This window comes from Homo sapiens, chromosome 4 (genome assembly GCF_000001405.40).
Source record: "Homo sapiens chromosome 4, GRCh38.p14 Primary Assembly".
In the NCBI taxonomy this organism is placed as follows: Eukaryota; Metazoa; Chordata; class Mammalia; order Primates; family Hominidae; genus Homo; species Homo sapiens.
In genome coordinates this window covers 144,825,553-144,838,305 of record NC_000004.12, presented here as the reverse complement: position 1 = coordinate 144,838,305, position 12,753 = coordinate 144,825,553, and the positions used below count along the sequence as shown (strand labels likewise).

Genomic DNA, 12,753 nt, shown 5'->3' with positions numbered 1-12,753 from the left:
GAAGCGTGTTTTCCAACTTGGTTCCATTCTCCCCATCACTTTCAGGTACATAAATCAGACGTAGATTTGGCCTTTTCACATAGTCCCATATTTCTTGGAGGCTTTGTTTCTTTCTTTTTACTCTTTTTTCTCTAATCTTGTTTTCTTGCTTTATTTCATTAATTTGATCTTCAATCACTGGTACCCTTTTTTCCCACTTGATCTAATCAGCTATTGAAGGTTGTGCATGTGTCATGAAATTCTCATGTCATGGTTTTCAGCTCCATCAGGTCATTTAAGGTCTTCTCTACACTGGTTATTCTAGTTAACCATTCATCCAAACCTTTTTTCAAGGTTTTTAGCTTCCTTGCAATGGGTTCGAACACCCTCCTTTAGCTCAGAGAAGTTTGTTATTACTGAGCTTCTGAAGTCTACTTCTGTCAGCTTGTCAAAGTCATTTTCCGTCCACCTTTGTTCCATTGCTGGCGAAGAGCTGTGATCCTTTGGAGGAGAAGAAACGCTCTGGTTTTTAGAATTTTCAGCTTTTCTGCTCTGGTTTCTCCCCATCTTTGTGGTTTTATCTACCTTTGGTCTTTGATACTGGTGACCTACAGATGGGGTTTTGGTGTGGATGTCCTTTTTGTTGATGTTGATGCTATCCTTTTCTGTTTGTTAGTTTTCCTTCTAAGAGTCAGGTCCCTTAGCTGCAGGTCTGTTGGAGTTTGCTAGAGGTCCACTCCAGACCCTGTTTGCCTGGGTGTCACCAGCAGAGGCTGCAGAACAACAAATATTGCAGAACAGCAAATATTGCTGCCTGATCCTTCCTATGGAAGCTTCGTCCCAGAGGGGTACCCACCTGTATGAGGTGTCAGTCGGCCTCTACTGGGTGGGGTCTCCCAGTTAGGCTACACGGGAGTCAGTGACCCACATAAGGAGGCAGTCTTTTCGTTCTCAGAGCTCAAACACCATGTTAGGAGACCCACTGCTCTCTTCAGAGCTGTCAGACAGGGATGTTTAAGTCTGCAGAAGTTTCTGCTGCCTTTTGTTCAGCTATGCCCTGCCCCCAGAGGTGGGGTTTACAGAGGCAGCAGGCCTTGCAGAGCTGCAGTGGGCTCCACCCAATTCAAGTTTCCCAGCCGCTTTGTTTACCTACTCAAGCCTCAGCAATGGTGGATGCCTTTCCCCCTGCCAGGCTGCTGTCTTGCAGGTCATTCTCAGACTGCTGCACTAGCAGTGAGCAAGGGTCCATGGGCATGGGACCCACTGAGCCAGGTGTGGCATATAATCTCCTGCTGTGCCATTTGCTAAGACCATTGGAAAAGTGCAGTATTTGGGTGGGAGTGTCCCAATTTTCCAGGTACAGTCTGTCACAACTTCCCTTGGCTAGGAAAGGGAAATCCCCTGACCCCTTGCGCTTTCTGGGTGAGGCGATGCCCTGCCCTGCTTTGGCTCGCCCTCCGTGGGCTGCACCCACTGTCCAACCAGTCATAGTGAGATGAACCAGGTACCTCAGTTGGAAATGCAGAAATCACTGTCTTCTGCATCGATCATGCTGGGAGCTACAGACTGGAGCTGTTCCTATTTGGCCATATTGGAACGGGCCTCTCTAGCTATGGTTACTTTTTAACAGTTTTATGGGAAAAGCTTCTTGAAACTGATCTGAGCAATAGCTTTCTGAATATGACCCCAAAAGCACAGGACACAAAAGCAAAAATAGAAGAATGGAATTCCATCATACTAAAAAAGTTTTGCACAGCAAAACAGACAAATAGACACATGCACATGCACACACACACACACATCAAACAAGAGTGAAGCTACAATCTACAAAATGAAAGAAAATATTTAAAAACCATACATCTGAAAAAGGGTTAATATTCAAAATATGTAAGGATCTTAAAGAATGCAATAGCAAGAAAGCAAATAACCCAATTTAAAATGGGTGTAGAGCCTGAATAGACATTTCTCAGAAGAAGACATACGAATGGACAACAGATATTAAAAAAATGCTCATCAGCAGGGAAATGCAAATTGAAACCACAATGAGATATCACCTCAGACATCTTAGGATGGCTATTGTCAAAAAGGCTAGAGACAACAAGTGTTTGTGGTAATGTAGAGAAAAGGGAATCTGTGTGCACTGAGGGTAGGAATATAAATTATTGGAGCCACAATGGAAAACAGTATGGAGGTTCCTCAAAAAATTTAAAATAGGGCTATCGTAAAATCTAGCAATCTTACTTCTGGGTATGTATCCAAAGGAAATAAAATCAGTATGTTGAAGAGATAACCACAGTCTCATGTTCATTGCAGCATTATTCACAATAGCCATGATATAGAATCAACAGATTAATTGATAAAGAAAATGCAGTATATATACAAAATGAAATACTATTCAGTCTCAAAAAAGAAGGAAATTCTGTTATTTGCTGCAACACAAATGAACCTGAAGGACATTAGGTTAAGTGAAGTAAGCCAGGCATGAAGGTACAAATGATACATTATCTCATTTATAGGTGGAATCTAAAAAGGTCAAACTCATGGAAGCAGAGAGTAGAATGGTGGTTATTGGGCTGGGTGGGAGGGGGGATAGGGAGATATGGTTAAAGGTTAAAAGTTTTAGTTTTATAGAATAAACTCTGGAGATCTATTGTGTAGCATGATAAGTATAGTTAATAATAATGTATAATATACTTGAAAATTGCTAAGAGAGTAGATCTTAAATGTTCTTCACCCACACATGATAACTGTGAGTTGATGAATATATTAGCTTGATTGTGGTAATCATTTCTCAATGCATACATATATCAAAACATCAATTTATAATAGACACAATTTAAATTTGTCAGTTATATCGCAATAAATCTGGAAAAGTGATAGAATATATTCACAAATTGATAGTTATCTCTGAAGTGATATATAGATGCTAGTTACAATAACCTCTTCTGTGTTTTAGGTTTATTCATAAAAATAGTGCTCTCTTTTAAAATGCTCCTCCAAGAAACATGCATAAAACTCTCATATTTGCACATGACTTTGTGTACTTAAAATAGATTAAATGATCCGCTTTTGGGGCTATCAAGCTAAGAGTTTGTTATTGATGCTGCTGACACTGTCATTGATACTGTTGATACTGTCACTAATACTACTGACACTGATTATTATTAATATAATTGATATTACTGGTCCAGTAGACTCGATAACAAACTTTTAGCTTGATAACTGTATTATATGAATATATTCTACTTTTTAAAAATTAAGACATTACAGATAAAACTAAAGTTTTCTTTGATCAACACTCTCAAGTTCAGGTCCTTTTCCTTCTCCTAACTAATGATTATTACTGTATTTGGCATGAATATTTTCATATTTTGAAAAATATTTTTCATAGGTATATATGCCCTTGTGAAATTCACAATGTTATTTTTATGTTTGCCTTTGTTTTTATCATAAATGGTTTCATATATGTATCTTTGTATAACTTGCTAATTTTGCCTAACAATATTTTGAGATCCATCTATTTTAATACATGAAGTTCATACTTATTTAATTGGGTCTATAATATTTTATTTTATAAATATTTGATGTTTTGCCAGTCATGGTGGCTCACACCTATAAGCCCAACACTTTGGGAGGCTGAGATGGGACGATCACTCAGAGTTCAAGACCAGCCTGGGAAACATAGCAAGACCCTGTCTCTACAAAAACTAAAAAAAAAAATTAGCCAGGTATGGTGGTGTGCGCCTTTAGTCCCTGCTACTTGGGAGATTGATGCAAGAGGATTGCTTGAGCACAAGAGTTCAAGGTTGCAGTGAGCTACGATGATACTATGTACTCCAGCCTAGGTGACAGAGAGACCCTGTCTATAGAGAAAAAATAATGTTTTTTTATTGTATAATGTTATAATGTAGGGGCCAAATGTTCAGACCATCTAGGTTCAAATAGAAGCTCTATCACTTTGTGTGGCGTTGGGAAAGCTACTTAACCAAGGTGTGCTTCAGTTTCTCATCTATAAGATGGAGATAATAGTGTCGAGCTCATGTTATTATTTTGCTGTAAGAAGTCAATGGTTTATTTTATTTTTTTTTTGAAACGAAGTTTCACTCTTGTTGCCCAGGCTGGAGTGCAATGGTGTGATCTTAGTTCACTGCAACATCTGCCTCCTGGGTTCAAGTGATTCTCCTGCCTCAGCCTCCCAAGTAGCTAGGATTACAGGAATGCAGCACCACTCCTGGCAAATTTTGTATTTTTAGTGGAGATGGGGTTTTACCATATTGGTCAGGTTGGTCTTGAACTCCTGACCTCAAGCAATCCGCCCACCTCGGCTTTCCAAAGTGCAGGGATTACAGGCGTGAGCCACTGTGCCTGTCCGAAGTCAATGATCTTTTAATTAAAACTCAGTAAAATTTTCTTTCATATTTACCTGCATATTTACCATTTCTGATGCTGATTACTCCATTGGGTAGTTCCAAATTTTTATTAGGTACCACTTTCTTTCTGTTTGAAGAACGTCTTTTCTTCTAGTGCAGTTCTGCTGGTGATATATTTCCTAAGCCATTGCTTGCCTAAAAAGTTTTTATTTTGCCTTCATTTTGTAACATATTTTACTGGGTATAGAGTTTTAGATTGTTTTTTTTTTTCAGTTTTCTAGTTTGTATAGTTTCTGACAAAAAGTGCCTTATCAGAAATGATACAACCTCTATCATTGTACTTTTGTATGTAATATGTCTCTTTTTATGGCTTTAAGATTTTCTTTATCACTGTTTTTGAGCATTGTTATAATGTGCTTTGGTAGGAATAATCTTTGTGTTATTTTGCTTGAGGTTTGTTAAACTTCTTCGACTTTCGTGTTTATAATTTTGATCAAATTTGGAAAGTTTTCATTCAGTAGTTATTCAAATAGTTTTTCTGTATTTCCATGCCCTTACATTCCCTCCTACTGAGAGTATGATTATGTGTATGTTAGTGTGCTTGATAATGTCCCACAGGTCACTAGGGCCTTATTCATTGTTTTAAAAATTATCTCTTTTGTGTATTATTTTGGATAGTTTCTCTTGCTATAGCTTTGTGTTCACTAATCTTTTCTTCGTTAATCCTATCCTGTGTATTTTTTTTTCATATCTGAAAGTTCCACTTGTATTATTTTTATCTCTTATTCTCATTGTGTTGATATTTTTCTTTAAAATTTTCAGTATAATATTAATACACTTTGACAATTTCATCATCTGCATCATTTGTTTTTCTATCTATTGATTTTTCTTTTGCTTATATGTAACATTTTTCTGTTTGTTTTGTAGTCTGCTCAGGTTGCTATAACAAAATACCTCATAGACTGGGTGGCTTAAATAACAAACATTTATTTCTGTAAAGTTCAGGATTAAGGTGCATGGTGTCTTTTTGGTTTGCAGATGGCTACCTTCTTGCTGTATCTTCACATGGTGGAAAGAGTGAGTGAGCACTGGTCTGTTTCTCTTCTTACAAGGACACTAATCTCATCATGAAGACTCTACTCTCACGACATCTTCTAAACCTAATTACCTCCCAAAGGCCCCACCTCCTAATACCATCACATAAGTGGGTTTCAACATGTGAATTTGGGGGAGGCATAAACTTTCAGTTCATAACAGCTTCTTTGCATGCTTGCTCATTTTTAAATTAGATTCCACACAGTAAATTTTATATTGTTGAGTACCTGATTTCATTTGATTCCTTTAAAGAGTGTTGTAGTTTGTTTTGCGAAGCCCTTTTGGTTCTTTCAAATTTTGCTCAGGTGGATTTAGAGCAGTCTTTAGTCCTAGGTTAGCCCCACTACTGACATCTAACCTTTCCGAGGTCTCTTCCAAATGTTCTTCATATTATGAAGTTTCTGTACTCTGATTTGTGAACTATTCCTAGACTCATTCTGGGAATAGTTCAGCCTACTGATTTCCTGCTCTCAGTCTCAAGGAGTTTTATTTCATGGATGTGTAGGTTAGTATACTCTTCCAAACACTCCAGAAGATTCCTTTGCAGAATGTAGAGCTGTTGTTTTACAGTTTCACCATCTCTGGAATTCTGCTGCATAAATTCTAGTCATTTTGACCTCCCTGAATTCCAATCTCTTCTCACCTCAGGAGAAAATAAAGAGAACGTATAATCCCCTTCTTGAGCTGTGTAAAACTACCACCTGGCAGAAAGCCAGGAAAATTATAGGTTTCATCTTGTTTGCTTCCTGCTTCTCAAGTGTCACAAGACTATGTTGCCTATTGTTGAATATCTTAGAAGCGTTGTTTCATATTTTGTTCAGTTTTGTGGTTATTTACAGTGGGAGGGTAATTCTCATAACCTTTTTATGATATTTTTGTTTTCTATTACCATACTTTTTATTCATACATGTTTTATTCTTCCCTTCTTTTCCAGCAATAAAATTTTCTTTGTTCCATACTTTTATTATATTTGTTTGAAATATATCCTATTCTTCTAGTGATTGCCCTTGAATTTAATTCTTTCAAGAAGGATCTATGGATTAGGTTTACTGCACACACTACACAGGCTGTGCACTGCACCACTCCAGGGAAAATCAGGTACATGTACTTGAAGTTGTGCAACATTAGAGCTGGTATACATTAGGATTTTTATATATCTGATTATATTTTTATATTTTTCTTACTGTTGAATGATAGCTTGTCTGGATAGACAACTTTGTGTTTCAAGTTATTTCCATTTAAATCTTTAAAGATATCACTCCATTCATTGTATAGTTACCAATATTACTTTTGGGATATGTAACATAAATTTGATTCTCCTTCCATTCCAGGTCATCTGTCTTTCTGGTAGCTTTTAAGATTTACTATTTATTTTTGATGTTTTAAAATTTTGGTGCCAGGACTCAAAGTATAGCTTTTAAAAGCATTTTTTCCTGTTTAGCAATATGATGGCTTTTTCTATTTGAAGACTCATGCTAACCTTAAGTTCTGGGAATTTTCTTTTTTTTGCTGTTGTTACTTAAGTTCTTGCTTCTCATACAGTTTCTATAGACTTTTGAATGTACTACTAATATTAATACTTCTGCATCTATTCTCCATGTCATTCAAATTCTGTATTAAAAAAATATGTATTTTTCCATTTGCTAGAATTCCTCAGTTATATTTTCTAATTTGATTGTTCTTTAACTTTGTCCTATTGGGAGTTATCCCTTCTATAGATTTTTTAGAAAATATATTTTATTTTGAAATAATTAAAGGTGTATAGTGTTTTGAAAATGGTTCCCACTCACTTTCACCAACTTTTCTTAATGTTAACATCTTACATAATATAATACAATTATAAACTAAGAAATCAGCACTGGTACAAAATATAATACAATTATAAACTAATAAATTAGTGCTGGCACAACTCTATTAAACTAAAATACAGATTTTATTTGGTCCAAGATCTCACATTCCAGTTAGTTGTCATGTCTCCTTATTGTCCTCCAAACTATGACCATTCTTCAATCTTTCCTTGTCTCTTATGGCCTTGATATTTTAAAAATAGCATTGCTGGAGTATAATTAACATACAATAATTTAGTGTTGTACATATTTAAAATGGATAATTTGATACATTTTGGCAAATGTATATGCATCTGTGAAACTATCAACACAGTCAAGATAATGAGCATATCTATTAAGAGAAATCTTGTGCCTTTTGGAATTTCTTCCTATTGTTCTCTCCACCTCATATCCCCTGGCAACCACTGATCTGCTTTTTGTCCATTTAAAAATGATTATGATTTTATTTTTTATTTGTTTTAGAGCTGAAGTCTCACTTTGTTGCTCAGGCTTGTCTTGACATCCTGGCCTCAAGTGATCCTTCTGCCTCAGCCCCCTGAGTAGCTGGGGGCTACTACGTAAGCCACCGTGCTGGTTGTCATTTTATATTTGCTTTACTTTTCTAGAAATTTATGTAAGTGGAATTATACAGCAAGTGCTTCTTTTTGTCTAGTTTCTTTCTCTCAGCATAATTATTTTGAGGTTGATTCATGTTGTAGTTTGTATCAACAGTTCATTCCTTTTTATTGCTGATTATTTTTTGTTGTACAGATACATCATAGTTTGTGTTTATATTCACCTGTTGATGGACATTGGGGTTGGTCCTAGTTTTTGGTCATTAAAAATAAAGTTGAGGCTGAGCCTCAACTCAGCTCACACCTGTAGTCCCAGCACTTTGGGAGGTGGAGGCAGGCAGATTGCTTGAGCCCAAGAGTTTGAGACCAGCCTGGGCATTATGGCAAAACCCCGGCTCTACAAAAAATACAAAAATTAGTCAGGCATGGTGGCTTTCACCTGTAGTCCCAGCTACTTGGGAGGCTGAAGCAAGGTGATCACCTGAGCCCAGGTGGCAGAGATTCCAGTGAGCCAAGATCACCATTGCACTCCAACCTGGGCAACAGAGCGAGACTCTGTCTCAATAAATAAATAAATAAATAAATAAATAAATAAATAAATAAATAAGTTGCCATGGACATTCCTGCACAAGTCTTTCTATGGACATATACTTTCCTTTCTCTTAAATAAATACATAGAAGTGGAATGTCTAGATCATTTGACAGATGTGTATTTAACTGTTTAAGAGAACTGCTAAACTGTTTTGCAAAGTGGTTGTACTATTTTACATTTTCTCCAGTAGTTTATGAGATTTCCCGTTTCTCCACATCCTTGCCAACACTTGGTGAGGTCAATCTTTTAAATTTTAACCCTTTAAATAAGTGTATAGGGGGATGCTATTGTAGTTTAAATTTACATTTCCCTGATGACTAGAGATACTGAGCATTTAAAAATGTACTTATTTGCCACCTGTATTTCTTGGGTTGTTTGTTCAAATATTTTACCCCTTTTTTATTGTTGTGTCATTTGTTTTCCTATAATTGAGTTTTGGGAGTTCTTTATATATTCTGGATTCAAGTACCTTCTTAGTCATATGTTTTGTAAATATTTTCTTCTAGCCTCTGGCTTGTTTTTTTCATACTCTTCACAGTGTTGTTCAGAGGGTAGAAATTTAAAATTGTGATGAAACCCAATTTATCAATTTATTTATTTATGAATTGTGCTTGGACTGTCATATATACAAAATATTTACCTGATCCAAAGTCATGTAGACTGTCTTTCTTTTTAGGTTTTACCTTTAGGTCTGTGATCCATCATGACTGACTTAATTTTTGCATATGGTGAAAGGTATAGATCAAAAATTCATTTTTTGTAAATATGAATGTTGACTTGGCCCACCATCATTTGTCAGAAGTCCTGTCTTTTGTCCACTCAATCACTTTATACCTTTGTTGAAAACCAGTTGTCTATGTGTGGGCATATATAGAGTTTTTTTAAAAAGTCAATAATTATATATCTAATTTCCAAGATCTCTAATTTTTAAATATCTGACTCTTTTTAATTTAATTTTATTTTTTTTTGAGATGGAATTTTGCTCTGTTGCCCAGCCTGGAGTGCAATGGCGCGATCTCAGCTCGCTACAACTTCTGCCTCCCGGTTTCAAGCAATTCTCCTGCCTCAGCCTCCTGAGTAGCTGGGATTACAGGCACTTGCCATCATGCCTGACTAATTTTTGTATTTTTGTAGAGACGGGGTTTGACCATGTTGGCCAGGCTGGTCTTGAACTCCTGACCTCAGGTGATTTGCCTGCCTCGGCCTCCCAAAGTGCTGGGAATACAGGCATGAGCCACTGCACCTGGCCAATATCTGCCTCTTATAGTCTTCATCTGAACATTAGTTTTTCAAACTTTTCTACTTTTTAAAAACCATGTATATCAAAATTATACATTTATGTAGTATAAAGAATCAAATGATTCTCCACAGCTTGTTATAGGAAAATAATAGCTGGATCCTGCCTCTAGTCTCACATTCCTACTATTCACAAAAAACTAATTTTTTTTAGCTATTTCTTTCATTCAATTTTTATATATCTGAATAGCATGCTGTATTGCTACTTCGCGATTCTCAGTTTAGGCATTATCTATTCAACTTCCTTCATGGAGGATGAGGGTTTGATTATCTTTTTTCTCCCTATGCCAAATACATATGCACACACTTTCTATCCTCAATATAATTTCTCAGTAGAGTTTTATAGTTATTTATTGCTTTTGTTATTATAATTTTTAAAAATGCTATGAAGCAACCTATGACAAATATTCATGTTCCCTGAAGTCAATATCTCTCTTTTGGGCGGGGAAGGGGCAGAGGATGTCATTTACTTGACTTTCTAGGAATAACATGACCGGCTTCAAAACTGCTAAGTGAACATCTTCAGATGTTGAGACATATTAGGTACTCTATCAACTTCATCCTTTTGAAGAAATTTCTCTAAGCCTTTTACAGTTTCTAATGTGGGCAGGTTACTCCATATTACTATTAAGAGAGATCATTCTAGGATCACTGCTACCATCGGTTTAGGATTCCCTTTGACTCTGGATTTCCTGTTGCCAGAATCCTCCATCTGAGTTTACTCTTTCAGTTTGGTAGAATATAATCTCTAATAACTTCCAGAGAAAGGATTTGTGAGAGAAAAATTTACGAGTTCTTGCATGTCTAAAATATTCTTTAGTCTATCTTCACACTTGATTGATAACTTCTTTGGATAAATATGTCTAGGTTGTAAATCTTCTTAATAATTTTGAGAAAATATTTTTCTATTGTCTTCCAGATTCCAGTGTTGCTTATGAAAACTCAGAGGGCGTTCTAATTCCTGAATTTTAATATTTGACTTGTTTTTTTTCGCATCTGGAAGCTATCAACCAACCTTCCTTGTTTTAGCACCATTCCTCTGCTTTTGTTTTTAATGATAATTTCTGCATTGATTTCTGAATTTCTTGGAGAATCTGTGGTGTAAACTATGTTGGTATTGGCCTTCTCCACTGGTAGCTTAGCATTTAGTTTTCTCAGACTAGTAATTTTCTCTTGTCCAGTGTTTTTCTAGCTTCAAATATTTTGTAGTCTCCTCTCCTATTTGCCCCATTCTGATGGGTCTTTGCCTTAAAAAAGTTCTGTTCCTTTAATCAGATTTCAAAATGAACCAAAAAAATGTGTGTTTAATTAGCTACATTTACTCAACATTATCCTACTTGAAAATTTAAAAATTCATATATTACATATATACAGTAAAGCATATAAAGCACACTACTTTTATGTTTACAGCTTGATGAATTTTTTTATTTTTTTATCTTATTTTTTACTTTTTCTTTATTTTATTATATTTTATTATTATTATACTTTAAGTTTTAGGGTACATGTGCACAACGTGCAGGTTTGTTACAAATGTGTACGTGTGCCATGTTGGTGTGCTGCACCCATTAACTCGTCATTTAGCATGATGAATTTTTATGTAAATCTATCGAGATATGAGATATATATTGTGTGTAATCACTGAGTAAAGTTAGATATAAAATATTTCCAGTATCCTAGGAAGGTTTTTTGTCCTGCTTTCCTATCAAGACCAATTCTCCATAGTAACCTCTTTTCTGACTTCTTTCATCATCAAATATTTTTTCTTATTCTAATTAATATAAAAGCAATATTTGGACACTCTTTACTTTCTGACTTATTTTGCTCAGCATAGGGTGTGAGAGATTCCTCAATATTGTTGCATGTATTAGTAATGCAGCAGTGTGCTGAAGCTGGCTCACACAGCTTGCAGTTGTGCACATTTTTTTGCAATGCTGCATTCTGTGACTTCATGTGGGTAACTTGAAAATGGCCATGGTGGGAGTATTTATGCCACAAAAATCAGGAAATGCTACCAATCAGGACTTTTTCCCTCGCTGGAGAGGCAGTCGTTAAATGTTTACCACTGCAGTAGTTTATTCTTTTTTATTGCTGTGTGAGTATTCCCCATACAGCAATACACTATAAAGTTTTACACTGTTATTTATTCATGATCTTTTTGATGTACAGTTATTTCTAGTCTTTTGTTATCATGAATAAAATGGGTGTGATCATTCTTGTTCATGTTCTTATGTCTTTTTAAAGTAAATATGTATTTATTTCTCTTAAATATGTACTTAGAAGTGTAATTGCTGGGCAATGAAGTGGGTAGACATTTAGCTTTATGAGGTACTGCCAAATAGTTTTCCAAACAGGTTGTACCAATTTACACTTTCACCAGCAATCCCGTTGCTTCACATTCTTGTTAACACTTGATATTGCCAACCATTTCAATTTTAGCCATTCTGCTGGGTGTGTGATGGTATCTGTGGTTTAAATTTGCTATCCCTGAGGAGTAATGATTTTGCATTCCTTCTCATATATTATTGGCCATTTGTATATCTTCTTTTATAACAATTCTGGGCATGTCTTCTATCCAACTTAAAATTGTTTTTTAAAAATATATTATGTACATATTCCTTTGCTGAATATAGTGTTGTCAGTATCTTCTCTCACTCTGTGGCTTGTTTTTTGACTCTCTTAATATATCTTATGGTGATGAAGAGAAATTCTTAAGATTAATTAATCTAATTTAACATTTTTAAATTTACATTTAGTACTTTTTGCATTAGCAATGAAGATATTCTCCTGTACTTTTTCAAAAGATTTTTTATGGTTTTACCATTTATATTTATGTGTATGATAAATTCAAATTAAATTTTTATGTATGGGATGATGTAGGCATCAAGATTCATTTTTTTCCATATAGAAATCCAATTGTTATGGCATCATTTACTAAAATTATCACCTTTCTCCCCACAGAATTTTAGTAGCAACTTTTCTTTCAATCATTCGACAGTATAAAATGCATCTAAATGTGATAC

The 12,753-nt window shown here is 35.3% G+C and overlaps 1 annotated feature.

The window, feature by feature from the left end:
* Positions 1,310-1,811: an enhancer, noted in NCBI's record as "H3K4me1 hESC enhancer chr4:145757647-145758148 (GRCh37/hg19 assembly coordinates)". NCBI's record gives its function as "activates a minimal SCP1, AML or CMV promoter by ChIP-STARR-seq in naive H9 embryonic stem cells {active_cell/tissue: H9 hESC(naive)}" and the evidence as "EXISTENCE:reporter gene assay evidence [ECO:0000049][PMID:30033119]".